Below are 23,386 nucleotides of genomic sequence, written 5' to 3'. Positions count from 1 at the left end.
TTAAAACATAAGACAGATCATGTACTGCTTTGCTTAAAAGCCTCTGATGAGAGTTTCAGTTTCACAAGATGAAGAGTTCTAGAATTGAATGGTAGTGATGGTTGCACAACAGTCTGAATGTATTTCATTAATACTGAAATATACTTTTAAAAATGGTTAAGATGGTAAATTTTAAGTTATTTGTATTTTACTATAAATTTTAAAATTGAAAAATGAATAGTCATACTACCAAAAAAAAAAAAAAAGAAAGAAAGAAAAAAAAAGCCTCTGATGGTTTCCTCTTGTACCTAGAATAAAACCCAGGTACCTTACCTGAGGTTAGAAGACCATCAATGCCCAGCTGTCTGTGCCATCCAGCATCACTGTCTTTGTGCTCTGGTTTCTGTTCCTCTGCTGTTATCCTTCAGGACCACTCAGCTGCCACATCCTCCCCAGTATCCTAGCTCTTTCTCACTACCCTTCTACTGTTGCAGCCCTCTGCCCCAGTTACTATTACTTTACTTTGTTGTGCTTTATTTTCTTCATCACTTTTGCCACTATTTGTCTTATTTATGTTTGTCTGTTTGTTTACTTGTATGTCTTCCCACAAGAATGTAAACTCCATGAAAGCAGGGATCTCACTGTATCCCTAGTGTCAAGAAGGCTGCTTGGCACATAGCAGGTGCCAAATATTTGTTGAATAAATGAATAGAGACATGGTCCCCAACCCCAAGGACCTGACAGTTTCTGATACTGTTTGAGTCTCAGGAGCCCTGAGCTGTGGTTGTGAGCAAGGATTTTAAGAACCTGTCAGCCAGGCCTCACGTAGAGAATGGACAATGATTTCTCAAAATGAAATGATCAGGGGGAGGAGAAAGAGGAGCAGATGATGTAGGAGGCAAAGAGCCAAAATTACAGTAAATGTTTCCTCTATTCAAGGGTAGAATAAACTTTTTCTCTCTTCTATCTCCCTACCCATCTAAAATAAAAACAAGAGAAAACAAAAGTATAACTATATATCAGTAGCCACTCATGAACCTTGCCTAAGCCAAATGTAAAATGAAAGTGATGTAAGATATTGTATGTCACATTTCCAGAAATACCTGACTCCTGTTTATCATCTGCCCTTAGAGAGCCCATTATGAGCACTCAGTTGTATGAGTCAATATGTCTGCCTTGCCAGAATGAGACCAAAATCTTACCAGCCTTTTCATCATTCCAGAATTATCTTCTTCTCTAGTATGTCTTTCTCCTGTGACAATCGAAACTCACTCTTTCCATCCTGCTGTCACAAACAGGTAGATTTATAGACAACTGGGTTCATGTGTTCATTAATATTTTTCATGGTAAATATAAAAGATAGAGGGATTTATGATATAGACAGATTTTCTGTACTTGACATGCAAAAATCTTCCATGTAATGAGAAAATTCACTCATTTTTTGACTATATTAATAATATATGCTGACTTTAGAAATATAGAGAACTTCTAACAGAAAATAACAAATAAAAAAACTTATAACATCAAAGAAAACAGATATCCCTTATAATCTTACCAACCAGAAATAACAATTGCTAACATTTTGATAAACTGCTTTGCGGCTTCTTGTAGCCTTTTAAAAAAGGTTGTTAAAGTTTTTCTCTAGGAAAAGAATTGGGAAATATTTAGATGAGGAACAAGAACCATCTCCTAGTATGCTTTTTTTTTGAAAGCTCTAAACATAAAATATAAACCTTTCCAACATGAACATTTTATTTCTTTCTTAAAAAACTCTTATTATAGAAATTTCTAAACATTTATAAAAGTAGAATGATGTAATGAACTGATATACTCATCACTCAGAATTATGGCTAATCTTATTTCATCTGTAAATATTCCAGTATACCTCTAAAAATAAGGACTTTAAAAAATTACAGCCATACCATTATCATGCCTAAGAAGTTAAAAATAATAACTTAATGTCATCAAATAGCCAATCAATCTGAACATTTTTAAAAACCACCACTTTGTTATGACTAAAAGTAGTGAGAGATTCTTGGGTAATAGGATGATACGGAGTCTAAGTAGCAAATTATATAAATATCACAAGAAAAGTTTTAAAACAATACGAGTAACTTATTTAGCTGTGCTTATTGCTTATAGATAACTATTAATACATTAGTAAACAATCTGTCATTTTATATTTTAATAACTTTGCTATTTCTTTATTCTCATGGTTTAAATTCAAAATGCAGTGTTCACCTATGCCTAATGATTTTTTTAAAACTCTCCTATGCATTTTTGGGCTTAGCGCAGGGAAAAAGTATGATCTGGATACATAAAAGTCAGCAGTGTGACATGTTTCCATAAGGTTCTATACTATGATACAGTTAATATATTTTTCTAAAGCTATAAATACTTTACCTGAAGTAAAGTAAAAATGAGCTGTTAGGTATATGTTTTGTTAAATTAATAAAGCAGAGAAAATCCATTTATTCTTAGAATTTCAGTAGTAGAAATAATTTTTGTGCTCTTAAAGATATATGTTAATTTTTAATGAAAAGTGCTAAATCCTCCATGTCTCTGCATAATTTATTCCTATTATAATTTTTACCATATGAGGATGTAACAGAGAGAATGCAGGGAGCAGCAAAAAAGTGTACTTGGCTGAAAGATTATCAGGAATCAGAGTGCGAGGTGAGGGTGAGGGGTCAAAGGGGTCCTGTTAATGAAGCCCACAAGCAGGAATTCCAGCTTGGTTCCAGACTCCACTAACAAATTGCTAGAGGGTTCTGAAAAGACAAAGGTCCTGGTGAGAGGTGCTTTGAGCTGGGGATTCACATTGCTGCCTCGACACACTGTTAGGGGAGAGGGAACTAGGGGTGTAAAATGTGGGAAATTGAGGACTTGGTCCAGCACAGAGCCTAGATGGGGGTGTGCCTCTGTGGATGGAAAGGAGTGAGAAGGGCAGAAAGAGTGAAAGAAAGATGAAGAAGGAGAGATTCTGGGTGTGCAGGAAGGATGGGAGGCCAAGGTTGGGGCCTGTACCACAGGTGGGTTGTGGTACCAAAACTGGTCACCTGGGGAAACTAGGGCAAGGGCATGTGTTGGTTGTGATCATGGAAATTCCTTTATTTCTATTCCCTATTAATCATTGCAGGTTAAGTTAATAAATTACATGCTCATTTGTAGAATTTGAGACTTTTCACTCTTCTGGGCAATTCTTTCATGATGGGGCATTTAAAGGTCTAGAAATTATTAGGCTTTTTCAAACATCAAATGTATGAAATCTCATTATAGTAGCTAAAGCCAGCCAGAATAACCAGGATTTCTTTCCTACTCCCAACTAACTAGGAAGAAAATCCATGGTATTTGAGTATCTTGTATAAAATTGTCTAGAAGAAAATGTTTTTCTATGTTTACCTAGAAAGATATTTGTAAATATTTGACATGACAGCTTTTATAGGGTAGTCATTGTTTTAGTTTCACATTGTCTACAATTTTTGTTTGTTGATGTTCAGCTGTTGTTTGAAAGGGCCATAGTTGGAGGAACCTACATTGAGGAAATATTGAATTAAACTATATATTATCCAGATAAATAGTGGAAGGAAATATTAGTCTAAGTTTTTTCTGGCATCTTTTCCTTCATATCAAAATTACGTAACCTAAAAATTAAGTAATGATATTTTTAGCAATATTGTATTGCAAATGTATACACAGATTATGCATTAAATCAATTTGTCTACTAGCTTAGGTGTGTAACTACACTTTCCCTGGGAAAATGTTTTCTTCAGTTAAAATAACTAAATTATACATTTCGTTCTCAATTAGAGATGTTTTTTGCAGACATGGAATAAATGAAGATCCTCTGTTGTTCTGAATCTGTGTTCATGTTTAATTTGTTAAAGAGAATTGAGACACCTTAATAACAATCATTTTAGTCTAACTGTACTGAAGAAAGTAGTATGGATACAAATACAGTCTGCTAACCCAGAGGCCATTTATCATGAAGTTTCAGTACCTAAAATGTTTCTGGAAATGAGTAAGCAGAGAAATTATCCCCAAGCAGAGAAAACAATGTCCCAAAGTCTTTTGAGTACATCTGTGCTCCACCCAGAAGGAAACCCCCTGGTTTTTAATCTCCACCCACTTAGCACTATTTTAAACATTCCAATGTTGTTGTTTTTCTCATTTCCCATCCCATAGCATATTAGGGAAAACAAATTAGAATGAGTGAGATTTTGTAGAAACAGGAATGCTAGTAACAAACAGTAAGAAGAGCAGTAGCTAACAAACTGATAGGGAGGAGACAGGAAATTTGTTAAAAAACAGGCACTGGCATTAGAAATGCCTTGCAATTTGGAACTTTTAGTGCAGGGCAAAGATCCATAGCCATAAATAGGGGTAGTCCCAGAGGACACTGCTATGATACTGTTATCTTAATAGTATCCCTGAATCATCCAGAAAAGTTCAGTTATAAGATGATTGAAATCTTTAAAAAAATGTTTTACAGTAAAAAAAAAATCAGAATCACAGATACAGGTGTATCTGGGCAGGTGTATCTTTGATTACACCTAGAGATAAGCATTTCAGTTATCTAAAATACTTTTATGAAACACTGCATTAGAAGATGAGGCTGGATAAATGAACTGTACTCATAAATACAAAACAGGATGAATTAATTTGATCTTACTGTTGGTTACTTTTCTTAACCACCCCTCTCCTTGAGTACCATTTATTTTTCCTCCCTTTCTGGCTTACCTGTACATTTTATAGATACGTACTATTTGGTGTATATGTACCGTAATACCTCCCCTGTATTCAGATTTGTAATAGGAAAGACCATTATGCTTTTTGCTCTCTATAGGATTCATCAGTCCATGTGCCCTGCCTGTCCACCGCTGGGCATTCCTTCCCCAGATGGGGCTCCATGCCCTATTCCTGTCCCTACTTGGACTGAACCTATGACTGCCAATTCTTGCTTGTCTCAAGGCAGGGTATTTAAGGCTATGGATTCCCACCCTTCCTCTCATTCTTGTAATTTTTGGTTACTGACCAAAAGAGAAACCCTTTACTGGGTATTATAGCCTTTCTATTGGCTCCTGTTACTATTAACCATACTTTCAGCTCTGTCCTTTATTCTTTGAGACTGGTGTTCCATTGTGTTCCAGTTCTCTTGTATCCCCAGTCTCATCATTTTCCAAATATAACTGAATCACAGCTCTTTCCCTCAACCTCAGGCCCATACACTGCTTATGAGAAGGTTCATCCATCCATTCATTCAACAAATATTTCAGTGTCTGTTACACGTCAAGCACTGTTTCAGGTGCCAGAGAGGTAAGAGTGCACAAAACAGAAGAACATCCCTGCCCCTAAGCAGCTTATAATATAGCGCATTCTTGGGGGCAGAGAGGGCCAGACGGTAAACAAGTAAATTTAGAATATTGGTGAAATACATATAAATATATATAACACTGAAAAGTACGATGCAGAAAAATAAAGCAAGGTAAGGGAAGTGCGTGTTGTTGGAGTGGTGACATTTTAGCAGGGATCTGAGGAAAGTGAAGGAGTAAGCTGTGGCAGATATCTGGAGGAAAAGAACTATAGGTTGTGGGGACAGTGATTTTCAATGCCTTGAGGCAGGGCATTCTTGGTGTGTTCAGGGAAGGACAAGGGGATCAATGCAGTTGAAGCTAAGTATGAGAAGTGAGGCTGGGCATGGTGGCGCACACCTGTAATCCCAGCACTTTGGGTGGATCACTTGAGGTCAGGAGTTTGAGACCAGCCTGGGTGTGTGCCTTTAGTCCCAGGTACTTGGGAAGCTGAGGCAGGAGAATCACTTGAACCCAGGATGTGGAGGTTGCAATGAGCCGAGATCGCACCACTGCACTCCAGCCTGGGTGACAGAGTGAGACTCTGTCTCAAAAAAAAAAAAAGAAGTGAGAAGAAGGAAAGGTCAGAGGTCAGAGAGGTAGTCAGGGCCCAGATCATGTAAGGCCGTGGAGCCCATTATAAGAACTTTGACTTTTATTGTGAGTGAGGTGGGAAAATATTGGTGCATTTTAAACAGAGAAGGGACATGACTTGAGTTTTTGTTTTGTTGTTTTTAACTTGAGGAAGACATTAAAGAGGGACAAAGATGAAGTCAGGGAGACCAGCTTAGAGGCTACTGCAGCAATCCGGATAAGACAGGACAGTGGCTTGGGCCACCGTTAAAGTAAAGTAGTTGGATTCTAGAATATATTTAGAAGATAGGATTTGTTCATGAATTTTATGTAGAAAGAAATGGAGGCTTTCTTCCATATTTAAAGATCTGGGTGGACTGGCCAGGATTCCCCTATCTATCCATTGCCACATTTGAATCTAACTGTTACTTTTTCACTTCCATAGGAAAATGAAACAAAACTCTCCTTTTTTGAACATCTCACTGTTGGGCTTTGTTGCCTCTGCCTTTCTTAGTCTTCTTTGTCTCTTGTTCTTCGCTTCAATCCCACATGCCTTAGAGACTTTGACGTTTCTCCATCGTTACTCCTGCTGTTGCTCTGGGAGACTTCCACGTCCCTTCAAATGCCGACTTGTGAGCGGCCTTAAAGTTCCTTGTGTGACTCAACTGTGATAACCTTTACAGCACTGTAAAGGTCTCTGGCTGTTCAGCTCTCTTATACCTCCTTCTCTTCACTCTCTCAGAGACTATAATTTTGCCTTGGTGTCTGAATTTTTTATTTATCCTACTTCCATATTTACCTGGCAAAGCCCTAATTCCAAATTAATCCTACAGTAATCCTCTGCACGGATACCCAGGTAGTGTCTGAATTTTTTATTTATCCTACTTCCATATTTACCTGGTAAAGCCCTAATTCCAAATTAATCCTACAGTAATCCTCTGCAGGGATACCCAGGTAGCTGAACAGTGTGGTGGAAAACTGGGTAAAATGGTAAATGGATCAGTTCATGGTTTCCAGTCTTGTCTCAATCCTGACCAGCATTACTTAAGTCTTTCACTCAGTGACTCTCAATCTTGGCTGCATATTAGAATCATCTGGGAACTTAAAAAAATCCTGGAGCCCAGGCTACAGAGACCAGTTAAATCTGAAATTTGGAGGCAGGACCCAAGCATCAGTAGTTACTCATGTTCTTTAGGTGATTCTAATGTGCAACTAAGATTGAGAACCACTACTTTAAACTTGTTCTTGAAGGATTTTCAGTTTCCATTTCCCTGAAAAGCTATTCTATTCTTTCACTAATCTCTAAAAAACCCTCTACCTAACTCCGTTTTATAAACCCTTGGCAATTGATCCCACTTCCTACTTGCTAGAAAAATTGAAGCATCTATTGGTGAATCCTCTTTAATTTTTAGTCCCCATTTAGTCAACTATACATTTAATTAGGGCTTAGATAAGCCAGGCACTGTGGTAGGCATGGGACATAGAGTGGTAAATGGGACAGTTATAGTCCGTGCCTTCCTGGTGCTTATGGTCTATCCCTGCATCCAGGCAGGTCAATTAGGCAATTACTGGACATGGTACATGCTATGGGCGCATGTAGGAAGGGCCCTAATCCAGACTTAGGCTCTGGAGAAGGCTTCCTCCCCTTTACTAACTCATCTATTTCACGCCCTTCTTTCCCGTTTTCCTTCTCGGAGGAGGTATCACCCTTGCTCCAGTGGAGGGAGAATGCTGCCTTGCAGGGCTTCTGACCATCCCCCTCATTTTCTCCTCTAGACCTTCATGGGTTGTTCCTTCTTGTTTCTCTCTATTACTTCATCCCCTCACTGTAAAAATACTCCAACAGTTATCACCTTAAGACTAATAAAGCTTGATTTTGCCTCTCCTTCTTCTCTTCTAGACTTCACCACCAGGCTTCGTGAACAAGACCTGTTCAATGCCTGCTATTAATCACCTGCCTTTGCATTTTGGCTTCAGCCTTATCATTGCTTAATTTCTTCTTCCTTCCAGTCACAGAGGCTTCCAGGTTGGCTGAATTTGCTGAAGACCATTCCACTCTATGCACTGAACCTCTCTGATGCATTTGACCCTATTCATCCCTGCCTCCCTCTTCAGAATTTTTCCCACTTTTGTTTTCATGATCCTGCACGTACTGAGTTCTCCTCATGTCTTTTTGACTCTTTCTTTTTTTGTCTCCTTTGTGAGATTCCATCTTTTGGCCTTCCCCTTAAGTGATGGTATTCTCCAGGCGTTTGTCTTTAGACCACTATTGTTCTCATGCATCTATTACTGTGGTTTTCATCACCAACTAGATGTGAAGTTCCAAAAGCTGTATCCTTAGCCTTGACCTTCCTCCCAAGTGCCTGCTAAACATCTCCACCTGAATGTCCCCTGGGCTTGTCACATTGGGATTTACTTTACCAAACTATCTCTGCCCTTGTTCAGGCCTATAATGATTTCTCATTGGGATGATGGAATTAAACCCCACTCGGTCTTCTTGCTCTTAGGCTCACCCATCACATTCATCCTTTGCATAGCTGATTTGCCTATAGCTAAAGCTTGCACTAAGGGGATTCTTCTGGTACAGGCTTGGGGTTTTCAGTGGGTAGCACTCTGGTGACCTGTGTGGTTGAGCTCTTTTACATATCGAGCTTATGAATAATATTTCACCTTTTCAGCGCTTCCTATTGCCTATGCAGTGTCTTTCACACTCTTCCTCATTTGCACTCCTTTCTCAGTGCATTTGACTATCCTACAACCCCAAAGTACCCAATTCCTACTGTTCACCAAGAAATAGCTCAGTCTCACATCTTTCACAAAGCCTTCTTATCATTCACACCTTCATTTATTTATTCACTGATATTTATTAGACATTTGCATTGTTGCATTGTCCCAGGCAGCAAACAACATTCCCAAAAGGAGGAAGGTAAGAACACACCTGAAGGCATTAGAGAAGTGCTTCTCAAACTATCTGTGGTAATAGACCAACTGGGTTTTTAATTTGTTTTTTTCTTTTTTTCCCTATCGTGGATCAGTAAATGGTCCTATTGCACATAGTGAATATGCAGGTTGCACCACATGTGACTCACCTCACAAATTCAGCAACACTTGAACTGGTCTATGCCTTGTTCAACAAGCATCACATACTTGGATGTCACAGCAATGTCAAATTGCTATAAACATTTCTAAATGCTTACACTTGATTTCTGGAGTTAGCTGGTACCAATCTAGTAAGAAACCATTTGTGCGTCAGCACCAGTCACAGGCCACTGTCCTAGAGTGTTTGCTATAGATGCCATGGTAGAAGAGGGGACAGCTTATGTCAGGGGCTCAGAAGAGACTGGACAGTTTGCCTGGGTGGTTTAGCTGTAAGGGGAACAGAAAGCATGTTAGAGGAAGGCAGAATTATGAAAAGTGAGCTAGGCTTCCCAGCCAGCCGAACAAGGATTTTTAGTCATGAAGAGAAACTGGAGCATAGATAGAGGGGGAAGGAGGAGCACTTGGGCTTGCTGAGTTGGAGGATAGAGGGGACATAGTGGAAAAGGTTGCTGTTAGGCAAGAGATGAAGCTAGAGAGTCACGTGGGGTTGAGATCATTCGTTCAGCGAATACTGTTTGGAAGTCAACCATGTGCCAGACCCTGCCTAGGAATTGGGGTTAGAAGTCCAGCAGGGACAGTTTTGCTCTGCTAGAGATTAGAAGGGTGCTAAGCGTCACCACAGAGTTAGACTTTTTAGTAACTGTAGGCAGACTTTGAAGGATTTTGAAGTAGAGCATGGTGTGACTGCTTTAATCCTTGGGAAGATGACTCTGGTGGCCTTGTGTACAGTGGATGGCTGTTCATTTAGGAAAGTTAGTTGAAAGGTGATTTCAGTAATCTTGGCCACACAAAGACGGAAGTGAACTAGGCAGTAATTATAATTATTACTCAAATTTACCGAGAACTTTGTATAGGGCTTAAAGCTACAGCATACTAAAAACAGATAATTCACTAGGCAGACAAGAGAACATCAACACAAGACAGACTTATCAGTAGACAAACTTATTAGTTCACTTCCTTCTGTGTGTGGCCAAGAGATGATAAAGCTCAGGAAGTAGCAGTCAGGGGTTGAGGGGAGGAAGTGGAGTTGAAGGAAAGGGGAAGGGACTTTTAGGAGAAATATCATAAAGATGGCATACACCACAGGTCTTAAGGGGTCAGTGGAGTTTAAGGATGGCTCACAGTTTCTGATTTGTGATCAGGTTCGTGGTCCAACTCATTGGGAGAACGAATAATAGAAGGGGAGGGTGTTGGAGAAGTGAGAAGTCAAGAGTCTAAAGATGTCGTACCAGTTAGGTGCCTTTCTGTGTTCCTGTAGTGCTTTGTGCTAACTTCTTGCATAGAATTGTCCATTGGGCTGAAGTACTTATGAGCTCCTTGAGAATGTGTACCCATTTTTCTATCCCAGACACTGGTCACAGGGCCTGGCATGTGGAACAGGCTTGACAAATGGTTCTTAAACTAAACCGAAAGATAGTGTATTAGTTTTCTATTGCTGCCATAACAAACCACCACAGACTTTTTAAGTTCATTGAAATAACACAAATGTATTATCTCACAGTTCTGTAGGTCAGAATTCCAGGTTGGCACAGCTGGTTTTTCTGCTCTGTGTTTCACAAGGCCCAATTAAGGTGTTGGTCAATTGGGCTCTTATTAGGAGGCTCCATTTGGAGCTCCAATGGGAGCTTGGAATCCATTTCTAAGCTCATTCAGGTTGTTGGCAGGATTTACTTTTTTTGTGGCTGTAGGACAGAGGTTCCTGTTTCCAGGCTGTCTGTCAGAGGCCACCCTTACCTTCTAGGAACCTCTCCCCAGTCCTTGAATGTGGGCCAGTCCATCCCAGAGCCAGCAAAGTTGCACTGAATATTCATGCTTCAAATCCTCCTTCTTCCAGCCAGAGACAGTTCTCTACTTTTAAGGATGCATTTGATTACATCGGGCCCAACATGATATTCCAGGGTAAATCCCTATTTTAAGGTCTATACATTTAATTACATCTGTGGAAACCCTTTTGGACATATTAGGCGCGGAGGGGAGAGCATCATTTTGTCTACTACAATAGTAATTATCCACCAAGTCAGGTAGGCATTATGATCGTGGTTTTTTTTGTTTTGTTTTGTTTTTCTCTCGAGACAGAGTCTCACTGTCACCCAAGCTGGAGTGCGGTGGCTCGATCTTGGCTCACTGCAACCTCCACCTCCCAGGTTCAAATGATTCTCGTGCCTCAGCCTCCTGAGTAGGCAGGATTACAGGCGCCCGCCTGCCACCACGCCGAGCTAATTTTTGTATATTTAGTAGGGACGGGGTTTCACCATGTTGGCCAGGCTGGTCTCAAACTCCTGACCTCAGGTGATCCACCCACCTCGGCCTCCCTAAGTGCTGGGATTACAGGCATGAGCCACCGTTCCCAGCCTATGATCGTGGTTCTTAAACACTTATGCATTCTAGCACCTCTCATTTGTACAGGGAAGCAAAAGGAGACTGAATTTGCCCAGTGTCAGATGGGAATGGGAACCGAGATAGATCACGACCCTTCAACTTCACTCTTTCTTCTAACCGTCAGTACATTGTCCATCTCATCCATCTGTCTATCCACCTATCCCATCTATTCAACTAGTAGTAATTCATTCATTAATTCATAAACATTTGAGTAGCTGCTTTTTTAAAAGAGTCTATGCTAGGTTGGGAAATGAGGAAGAAAGTGAGATACAAAGATAACACCTGATTTCTGTCAGTTCATTTTTAGTATATTGAGGTCTATATCAAGCTCTGCTCTCCTCTCCTCTCCTCTCCTCTCCTCTCCTCTCCTCTCCCCTCCCCTCCCCTCCCCTCCCCTCCCCTCCCCTCCCCTCCCCTCCCCTCCCCTCCCCTCCCCTCCCCTCCCCTCCCCTCTCCTCTTCTCTTCTTTTTCTTTCTCCCTGTTGCCCAGGCTGGAGTGCAGTGGCACAATATCTCATCCCACTGCAACCTCCACCTCTCAGGTTCAAAATGATTCTCCTGTCTCAGCCTCCCGAGTAGCTGGGATTACAGGTGCCCACCACCATGCCCAGCTAATTTTTTTGTATTTTTAGTAGAGACGGGGTTTCACCATGTTGGCCAGGCTGGTCTCGAATTCCTGACCTCGTGATCCACCCGCCTCAGCCTCCCAAAGTGCTGGGATTACAGGCGTGAGCCACCATGCCCAGCCTCAAGTTTTCTTAAATCCATGCTGTCTACTGATAGGTTTGTCTTGTGTTGATGTTTTCTTCTCTGTGTAGCGAATTATCTGTTTTTAGTAAGCTATAGCTTCAAGCCCCGTACCAAGTTCTCAGTAAATGTGAGTAATTATTATAATTACTGTTTAGTTTACTTCCTTCTATGTATGGCCATAAAATTTAGGAACCATTACTACATGTATCTTATCATTGCTTTCATTTTTAACTTTATTCAAGTAACCAGTGTTACAGTTGCTTATTACTCTTTCCAGAGATTTGCGCACATACAAGGAAGTATTTGTCTTGTGTGATTTTTAGTGATTATTCCATAGCAGCATAGGTAAAGCTATTTCATTCCTTTATTCTTTTAATAACTTTTTTTTTTTTTTTTTTTTTTTTCTGAGATGGAACCTCACTCTGTTGCCCAGTCTGGAGCACAGTGGTGCAATCTTGACTCACTTCCACTTCCGCCTCCCGGGTTCAAGCAATTCTACTGCCTCAGCCTCCAGAATAGCTGGGATTATAGGCGCCCGCCACCACACCCAGCTAATTTCTATATTTTTAGTACAGACAGGGTTTCATCATGTTGGCCAGGCTGGTCTCGAACTCCTGACCTCAAGTGATCCACCTGCCTCGGCCTCCCAAAGTGCCAGGATTCCAGATGTGAGCCATCACACCTGGCCCTTTTTATAACTTTATTCTTTTTTTAAGGCATAGCATTCCATTGTTCAAATATACCAGTTTTTTTAAACAAGTCTCATATTGGTGGACATTTGGATTGTTTCCACTTCTTTTGCTATTAAAAGATTGCTACAATAAAAAAATCTCCTGTGTGTATCTTTCATGCAAGTATATATATATATATATATACACACACACACACACACATATATATACACACACACATATATATGGTGTGTATATATATGGTATATATATGGTGTGTGTGTTTATATATGGTATATATATGGTGTGTGTGTATATATATGGTATATACATATGTGTATATATATGGTGTGTGTATATATATGGTGTGTGTGTATATATGTGTATATATGTATATATATACTTAATATATATACTAATATACATATATACAAATATAAACTAATATATATACTAATATATATACATATATATATACACATATATATACACACACACACCATTTGTTTTATAGTTGATATTGCCAAATCACTCCCATAGAGGTTGTACCAGTTCACATTCCCATCAGCAATGTCTGAGAGTGCCTGTTTCTCCAGACTTTGACTAACAAAGTGTGTTATCAGACTTTATGGTCTTGGCCAATCTGATAAGTAAAATGATATTTCACTCTAATTTAAATTTGTACTTGTCACATTGTTGAGTAACATTGGACATCTTTTTGAATACATTTTAGAGCTATTTGTATTTCCTTTTCTGTAAACCCTCTGTTTTTTGTATCTTTTTTTCATTTCTCTGCTGAGAAATTTTTTTTTTTTAATTTGTTGAAAGCCTTTATATATTAGAGAAAGTAACCTTTTGGGATATGAGATACTTATGTTTTCCTTTCAGTTTCATTTCTCTTTTGATTTTGTGTGCTTAAGCTTTTCACTGTATAAATATTTAAAGTGGTCATATTTAATCTTTACATCTGTGACTTCTATGTTTTGTGTCATTGTTGGAAAATCCTGCCTCATTCCAGTATTATAAAATAATTAGCTCAGGTTTACCAATTATTTAACTTTTAATTTTGAAATAATTATAGATTCGCAAAAAGTTGCAACATTACTACAGAGAGATCTGTGTAATTTTCATTCAGTTTTCCCCAAACACCGGGTATTTTTATAATTTCATTTTTACATTTGAATTTTGTATTTATCTGAAATTTGTTTTAATATGAGATATGGATTTCAATTAATTTTTTTTCCAGTTGGCTACCCATTGATCCTCACATAATTTGTTGAATAATCTGTATTTTCCCCAATAATTTAAAATGCATGTGTATCTACTATGAACTAATTCCTGCATCTACTGGTTAATTTCTTAAATATTTAAAGTATCAACTGGAAGAGAAGCTGCCATGGCATTATCATTGTACATTTTTCCAAGGGCCACATGTTGAAATAACCAGTGCTGACTTTGTGTCAAAAATCCATTTATAGTGTAATTTGGCCTATTTGGCTAGAACTGTGTGGTATTGTGGGTTGTGGTGGGGTATAGGTAAATAACATTTATTCTTTGCCCTCCAGGAGTTCACCTTGTCTTATTGATCCCAATCTATTCAGGTAAAGTCTTTAGACTATGTAGTGCTTATGGGTAACCAATTAATCCTCCCTATACTCTTTTTTTTTTTTTTGAGATGGAGTCTCGCTCTGTTGCTCAGGCTGGAGTGCAGTGATGCAATCTCGGCTCACTGCAACTTCCGCCTCCTCTGAATCCTGGTAGCAATTCTCCTATCTCAACCTGAGTAGCTGGGACTACAGGGGCCGCCACCATGCCCGGCTAATTTTTGTACTTTTAGTAGAGATGGGGATTCATCATGTTGGCCAGGCTGGTCTCAAACTCTTGACCTCAAGTGATCCAGCTGCCTTGGCCTCCCAAAGTGCTGGGATTATAGGCATGAGCCACCACACCTGGCCCTTCCCAAAACTCTTCTAAATGACATATATTATCTCCATTTTGTAGGTAATAGAGACTCAAGGATTAAAGTTGTTCCGATATCCAGTCACAGCAAGTTGGCAGAGCTCAAGCCCAGGTTCTGGTCTTTTGATTACTAGCGTTATTCCACACCATTCCAGGACATGCCTCAGATCTGCCTGAGACGTCTTTTCACTCCATTGACCTCAGATAAAAACTGCCATAACTTGTGAGCTACATCATAACTCTACTATTCCATCTTGGCTTTAGCAAACCTAAAGACTTTCACCATTTTTATTTTATTTTTAAAATAAATATTAAACACCATGGTGAAACCCCATCTCTACTAAAAAGAAATAGAAAAATTAGCCAGGCATGGTGGCGCAAACCTGCAATCCCAGCTATTTTTGAAGCTGAGGCAGGAGAATTGCTTGAGTCCGGGAGGCAGAGGTTGCAGTGAGCTGAGATCGTGCCATTGCATTCCAGCCTGGGTAACAGAACGAGACTCTGTCTCAAAAAAAAATAAATAAATTTTATTTATTTATAAAATAAATAAATTTTATTGCGTGTATTTGAGATTTACAATGTGATGTTCATGTTTACTTCCTACTTTTTAATGAAAGGGTTAAGCAAAGGTAGATAACTTCTGCAAGGTTTTTCTGATTTCACTCTGAGTGATGCTAAAGGAAAATGAAATACTCATCTGCTTATTTCATTACCTGAGTGTAAGTAGTAGATTTAGTGTATATTTAGGTTATTTAGATTTAGGTAATCCTAAAATTCTTTCCAAGCTGTGATTCTTGCTAGTATTTTCCATAGTTTTATGTTCCCATATAGGAGGAAGTGAACAAAAACATTTAAAGAATGATAAGTATTTTCATGTGGGTTATTTAGAGGGAAAACATGCTACAAATTCCTTAATCCAATTAAAATCACACTTGTTACAGAAAGTAATGTGGACCGATTATTGTATAATAGTAGTATTGATTTCAGTTCATTATGCATTAGCTTGGTAGCATATGTTTAAAGGCTACCACTTAAAATTCTGTATATGCTTTGAATTTAAGACTATCAGCTCATATGCTTTGTTAGGGTCCTCTTATAGTTTCCTGGCAATTAGCTGCAATGTAGTTCATGTGATGTTTTTCATGGGATAGGGATTTTAGGAGCAGTAAATGGGGATGGGGTGGAGGTGAGTCTCCAGCCCTGTATTTTCTGCTTACCATTCACAATTAAGCCCAGCATAGGGCTTAGTGTGGTGTTAATAAATGTTGGTTGATTGATGAAATTCATTTCACCATCTTGTTCTTCTTACTGCCCTTCACACTGGGAAGCTGTGTGCTATCATGACGAGCATAGACTGGAACCCTGAACTTTGAACACTTCCTCTACAGCTTAGTAACTGTGTGATCTGGGGCAAGTTCCTTAACTTCTCTGAGCTTCAGTTTCCTTATCTGTAGAATAAAGATAATGGTATTTCTCTGATAAGAGCTGCTAGGAAGATTGAATGTGATAATGTCAGTGGAATACCTAGCACAGTACATGACCCAGAACCTTCAGTTAGTGGGCGTTATTGTTATTCTCTTGGATAACTTGGGTAGCAACTCACTATACTCCCTTGCCTCAAGAAGTAGAGACAATAGTTGGTTTCAGGGGATGTGCCTAGTTGTACTGCTTGTGGTATGCTGGGTCAGATCCCTTTGTTTCAAGAAAACTCTGCAATCTCCTCACAGAATCTGTTAACACCTCTTTGACTTTTGAGCAATACTCCAAGATGACTACTGAGGCTGGATGAGAAGGCTGATTGTCATCTGTGGTTCTGCTTCTTCCTTATGCATTTTTGACCCATTTCACAGATTTCATAATAACTCATTATGAAAATTTTATTCTTTTCAGAACCACCGATTTTTAAAACTTTAATCAAGACAGCTTTCTTTTTGCAAAAGATTTCAATAATGAGGATTCCAGGTTGGCACAGGCTGATTTGGGCAACTGAGAAAAGTCTTTCCGACCTTTGTCAGAGAAGTAGCTTAGCTGAGTTCGTTCTTGTTGCCACCTTGCTTTTGAATCTCTTGGTTAATGTATGAAAGCAGAGGAACTGCTTTCATCTGAGGCACACAGTGGCAAAGTTCCCATGGCAGGAAATGTTTGTTCTTACAAATCTCATACATGGTGGTCACAAGGGAGACCTTCGTATTTTGTTTTGCTTGTCTGGGCTTTATCATAATTTGATGATTGTTTCAGTGTGTTTGCCTGACAGCTAACTATCTAAGAGAAAAGACTGTGATGCACTTGCCCTTAGGGACCTTCTTAGTCAGCCCCAATCTACCTGTCGAGTTTATCTCCTGCTTCCCCTCTTTGCAAATCCTTTTTGTACTACAACCAGGCTAGTGGTCTTTTAACAAGTGTTCTCTGAAGTAACAATCCCTGTTTCTGTTAACTGAAAAAAAAAAATTGATATAAACAAAAACAAAGAGTTGATGACTTCTGAGATTGGGAGGGAGGAATGGGGGCAGGTGAGAAATAACTTACTAAAGGGAAATAGAGATTTTTACATTGGAGGGCAGTAGGGAGTGTTGAATGAGAAGAGTGGAGTCAGATAGTGGAGCTGAGAACTTGGGACTTGATGTAATTTAGAATAGGGAAAGGGGAAAAGGTGATGAAAGTGGTATTTTAGGACTATATTTTTCTCTTAATAAGATTAACCCTAAGCGTAGATTTAAGGGATATATGAGTAGAGGCAAGAGTTATCCAGGCCCAGTTATAGTAATACACGTGTCAACCGAAGTTCTGGTTGTTAGCAGTGAGAATTGTGGGGAACATTTTCATTTGAGAAAAGTCAGGTTGTAACAGCTCACAGGTTGGAGGTAAAAGAGCACAGTCAAAGATGATTCTAATGGCTTGGAGTAAAAGAAAAGTCAAGCCATTAACGCCTGTGAAGGTGACGGATCAATAAACCTGTTGGTTGAAGATAGAAGCTGGGCAAGATGAGTTCCTTTTGGGATTAGTTAGGCTTCCTGTGATGGTGGAATATCCAAATTATAATGTTTATTGGCAGTTGGAGAAAATGGACTCTGGCATGGATGAAAGGTTAGGGTTCAGAGTGTAGACTTAGGAGTCATTACCATTGTTTTAGGAACAAGTAGATAGAAAGCAAAGAGAGCACCAAGGATTGAAGGGAGAAATCCTTCAGTGCAGGGGTATGAAGAAAATAACCAGCTAAACAAAACAAGCAAGAGCTGAATGATGGAAAGGCTTGAGGCCAGTGAGATGAATGCTATACTGTGGAAGCCAAGGTCAGGGCTGTGAGAAGGAAGGAGAGGTCAACAATGAGGGACTGCAGGCAGATCAGAGTAGACAAAAACTTAGGATAAGCCTTTAGGTTTAGCAAGAGGGAGGTTCTCAACCTTTGTGTACAATTCCAGTGAGAGAGGAAACCTTTAACCAAGCAAGATGATTATCTGAGAAGAGTCACACCTTCCATGAGGAATACCTTTAGAGATGCTGTGATCCAGAATCCCTGCCATGCTAAATCACAGTCTGTCATATCTACTCAAGAACAATTCCTTTCCCTTATTCCATTATCATATGCCTATTCTTTTTTTTTCCAATTAAATTTTGCAGCTTGTCCTCTCCAGCCTAGAGAGGGCTTGTCACTATTGTTATTGAACAACATAGGTCACAACCAGTTAAATTTTTTTCTATTCCAACACATTTTCTGATGAAAATTAAATATATACCAAGCAATAAATTTGGTTCTCTATTGTCAAACTTAACAGCAAGAAACTCTTTGTTACATTGTACTATTTCATTTTCTCTCAAGATAACATTTTATTCTTTATATTTCCTTTTCTTTATTTAATTAATTTATTTATTTTGAGAGATAGGATCTTGTTATGTTGCCTAGGCTGCAGTGCAGTGGCACAATCATTGCTCACTGTAACCTCAAACTACTGGGCTTCAGTGGTCCTCTTGCCTCAGTCTCCTGAGTAGCTGGGACAACAGGTGTGTGCCATCATGCCCAGTTAATTTTTTAAAAACAATTTTGTAGAGATGAGGTCTCCCTGTGTTGTCCAGGCTGGTTTCAAACTCCTGGCCTCAAGCAATCCTCCTGCCTTGGCCTCCTAAATTGCTGAGGTTAAAGGTCTGAGTGACTGTACCTGGAATTATATTTCTCATTTATGTTTTTTTCTATAATTTATCTTAGATTAAGATTGAGATTAGGTGTCTTACCCTTTATGTTGCTATAAGAGAATACTAAAGAATGGGTCATGTATAAGAAAAAAATTATTTCTTACAGTTCTGGAGGCTGGAAGTCCAAGGCCAAGGGGCTACATCTGGTGAGGGCCTTCTTGCTGGTGGTGCTCTCTACAAAGTCCTGAGGTGGTACAGGGCATCACATGGTGAGGGGGCTCATGAGAGTTGGCTAGACTGGCTTTTATAACAGACTCACTCTCCTGGTAAATAACTCACTCCCTCAATAACCCGTTAATCCATACATCCATGAAGACAAAGGTTGATGGCCTTTGTGTGAGTTATACAGGCCCCAGTTTTTCAGCTTCTAATCTTTTATTCTTGGTATGTCATTATTTATTTATTTTTATTTTTACCTTTTCCATTTCCCCTTTCAGGAATATGTCATTATTTATTAGTCTAACAAAATGTAGTGGGAAAGAGGAAGACACCTTCTACTTATCAGAAAATAAGTCAGATGGACTACTTGCAAAAGACACTGAAGCCAATAAAGAGAAACACTTAGAATGCCCAGTATGCTAATGACTATACTATCTTCTATGCTATATATAGTAGTATATATATAGTATGTGCATAAACACACACATACTATATACTGGTTTTTTCCTTCTAGGTATGAATGTTCATAGTTCAAATGAATAAAATGCAGCTAATTTGCAAAGTTTTTTTTAAAAAAAGTACAACTGACCTTAATGAAAACACATTCCTCAAGTTTTTGAGAATCAAATCTCAGTAAAGAAGATCTTTTGAGAAGATAAATACAGCCTCTCAGTAAAGGGCAGAAGCACAAATAGAATACAGTTAGACAACAGAAAGTTGAGAGGTTGACCTGGTCATGTGAATTATTTACAGATAAATATACCTTATTTACTTACTCTTCTAAGTTAAAATTGAAACTGAGAAAATTGGGCCTTCTTACTGCCCAGTACAGCTATGAGAATTTCTTTACTGATTGACGAATGCCATGGATATTTAGTCCTTGACTCACCTCCCCTGGGTCGGTACTGTGCACAATACAAATTTGCTTAAGAAGCCCTTCCACCCTACCCTACAAGAACTTACAAAATTCTAGGTGAGGTAAAACATATCCACAAATGAAATGCAGTATAATGACTCCCAAATATAGAGGTATGTGCAGGAGTTAGAACCAAAATATTAATAACTAGTGTGGCATGGATGTCCAATGAATCAGATCAGATGCCAGCCCTGAAAAACTGACCTGCCTGTCCTAAAGCACAAGAGTGGAATATCAGTACTGGTTACATATAATGTGCTGTAGGATTGCATATTTGTATAATTTAGTAATTGATTCCACAGAATAATCATGTATAGGTAATGGGCAAATCTATCATCAGTTTTGAATAAAATAATGTTTCTAACATGAATTCTCTGTAGAAGCTTTTTAAGCAGAAATTTAGATAAGCAGTGGGCTTAGAAAAATCCACATGAAAAGCCTTTAATAAATGAATGAATTCATCATCTCCCTTTCCCTTCAGTATGTGATTCCAGTGTCCATGTCCTCACCCATGAATGGGAAATGAAGGTGTGTGTTAAGTATTGAAATATAGCAGGAGGAGGATCCTAGGGGTACTGCCTTAAACTGGGCCAACCTGCTTTTTTAGTTCTTCTGCCCACAAATGTTTTCCTTCATACTATAAGAAATGCTCCATTTTCTTAAGTACCTAAAACATTCAAAGATTCATTTGTGTTAACAAGCCTCAAGTGAAGTTCCACTGGCCACAAATGCAAAGCAGGCAGGCAAGATAAAGTTTGTTTTTTCTCACTGAGCGATAGTTTGAGGGCTGATAATTTGTTTATAGTCATTTTTTCCTGTAGCCCAAGGACATGGAAAGTGAAAAAAAGAAGAATTCAGGAACCTGAGTTGTAGAGTTCAATATTCATACCAAGATTCATTCCACCTCATAGGTTGCATCCCATTCCCTTTAAGGCATTTTTATCTGTTCACCAGTGTATGGAGTTTCCATAATCAGAATCAACCCTGTTGTTCCATTCACCACCTGGAGAAAAAAAAATTAGGATTGTTAGTCTGTTTGCTTCTCCTCCAATGTGAGGCTATGGTTTCTCTATTTTCCTACTTTTTTTCTGATTTCCTGTGAAATCAAAGCTTTTGCCTTAGGCATATACATAAACACTCATGCAATTTCAGCTTCTCCTCTTCCACCAACTTTTCTTGGCCTTACAAATGTATTCAAGATGTTTTTGTCCTTGAAATAAATCTGTCCTTCACTCTACTATCTTCTTTCTTCCTCCTATAAATAAGTATCTTGAGTAACTGGGTCATAGAAAGGGAGTGATCCCAGAAGTCAGTTGAGCTGAGTGTTGGGTCCAACTCTTTATTGGAAAATCCTTCAGAACCTCAGTCGTCACAGCTAGACAAGCTCTAGAAGTCCTTCCATTCAAACCTTCCTCTGGGATAAATTTATATTTATCAAGACTAGCTACTTTCAATGCCTCCTCACTCCTTGGGGCCTGGGTTTGATTTCTGCCACCCAACTGTGTATTATACTGTAGAAGTTTATAAATTTAGCTAGTTTCAAAATTCAGTAGGTTTTTTCTTCATCCATATTCACTCAACACTGGAGAACTAGTTTTCTTCCTTAGATTCTTCGACATACCAATACCAGTTGTCATCTTAACATTCTTTTTCTTTCTTTCATTTTTAAACATTTTAAAATAGAGTTGTCAGACATACACAGAGGTAGATATTAACACCCATGTACTATCATCAACCATTCTCAAAAATTGTCAACATTTTACCAGTCTCTTAATATTATTTTTTAAAGAAAAAACCATTTTGTTCTCATAACATTTCCATCACCCTCCAGAATTGTCTTGTGCTGCACTTTGTAATGAACTCCCCTCCATCCTCCAACCCCAGCAACTTCTGACATGTTCTCCAACTTTATAGTTTAGCTTTCTCCAGAATTTCATAGATGAATTTTATAGTATGTATTCTTTGGAGTCTGGCTTATTTCACTTAACAGAAATACAGTTCAGATTCATCCATGTTGTATCAGCAGCCTTTTTCTTTTTATTGCTGAGTAGTAATTCATTGAATGGATATACCACTGTTTGTTTATCCATTTATTAGTCAAAGAAAATTTCAGTTGTTTATTATTTTGGGTGACTATGAATAAAGTCACTATAAACATTCATGTACAAGTTTTGGAATGAATATAAGTATTTCTTTGTCTTGGGTTAATATTAAGAGTAAAATTGCTGGGTCATATGCTAAGTATATGGGATTTTAATAGGAATTGTGTTGACCAATTTAAGAGAATTGATATCTTAACAATATTAAGTTTTCCAAACCATGAACATGGTATCACTTACCATTTATTTAGGTTTTCTTTGATTTCTTTAATTTGATTTTTCTGCATAGATGCATAAGAATTTTTTCTTATTCTTTGAGTTCATCAATTTAACCAGGATTTGTCTTGCTATTGATTGTTATGCATCAGATTATCTTACAACCTTGTTTTCTCAGTCTGTCTATAAAGTCAGTAGGAAATTATTTTTTGTCATGTATTTGAATATGTTACTTTTTCTTTTGTTGAATCGTGTACTTTAGAAAGACCAATTACCCTTTTATGGGATCATCTTTGCCCTTCTTTTTTTTTTCTATTAGTTTAACCTTTATCATTTTCATTTGAACACTTCAGGTTTTCTTCTATACCTAGAAATCACTGTTTGGTTGTGAATACTCTGTTTCTGGCTGTTTCTGATTTATCTTTTAGTGTGCTAATGAGCTTTGGTCCTCAATTTGTTTCATTGGTCCTACAGTCTCCCATTCCATTTTATTCTTTTTTTTTTTTTTTTTTTTTTTTTTTTTGAGACGGAGTCTCACGCCCAGGCTGGAGTGCAGTGGCATGATCTCGGCTCACTGCAGCCTCTGCCTCCCGGGTTCACACCATGCTCCTGCCACAGCCTCCCAAGTAGCTGGGACTACAGGTGCCCACCACCATGCCCGGCTAACTTTTTGTATTTTTAGTAGAGACGGGGTTTCACCATGTTAGCCAGGGTGGTCTCGATCTCCTGACCTTGTGATCCACCTGCCTCGGCCTCCCAAAGTGCTGGGATTACAGGCGTGAACCACCGCGCCCGGCCCCATTTTATTCTTTTATCATTTTATGAATACATGTTTTTAACTCAAAACCCTTCTGGAGAATTTCCTTTTGTTCCTTTAGTTACCTTTTGTTGTTCTGGGTTCTTTTTTGTCTGCTGTGTCCTTTTTGCTTTGGTTTCTTTCCCCCCACAGTTTATTTGTAAAGTTTTCTAGTGATTTTTTTTTTTTCATCAAATGAATATTAGGGCACTTCTGGTCAGACCACATACTTGGTCTGATACAGTTTGGGT

At 38.7% G+C, this 23,386-nt stretch overlaps 1 protein-coding gene across 8 annotated transcripts in view, besides 1 other annotated feature; it reads left to right on the top strand.

The window, feature by feature from the left end:
• The window catches only part of ELOVL7 (ELOVL fatty acid elongase 7), a 92,479-nt gene that overhangs the window by 13,415 nt on the left and 55,678 nt on the right, over positions 1-23,386 (top strand). The window lies entirely within an intron of this gene.
• Positions 8,467-8,526: a silencer, noted in NCBI's record as "silent region_16039". NCBI's record gives its function as "represses an Ori minimal core promoter by ATAC-STARR-seq in GM12878 lymphoblastoid cells {active_cell/tissue: GM12878}" and the evidence as "EXISTENCE:reporter gene assay evidence [ECO:0000049][PMID:35858748]".

This window comes from Homo sapiens, chromosome 5 (genome assembly GCF_000001405.40).
Source record: "Homo sapiens chromosome 5, GRCh38.p14 Primary Assembly".
Lineage (NCBI taxonomy): Eukaryota > Metazoa > Chordata > Mammalia > Primates > Hominidae > Homo > Homo sapiens.
The sequence above is the reverse complement of the archived record's forward strand: the minus strand, read 5'-3'. Positions and strand labels throughout refer to the sequence as shown.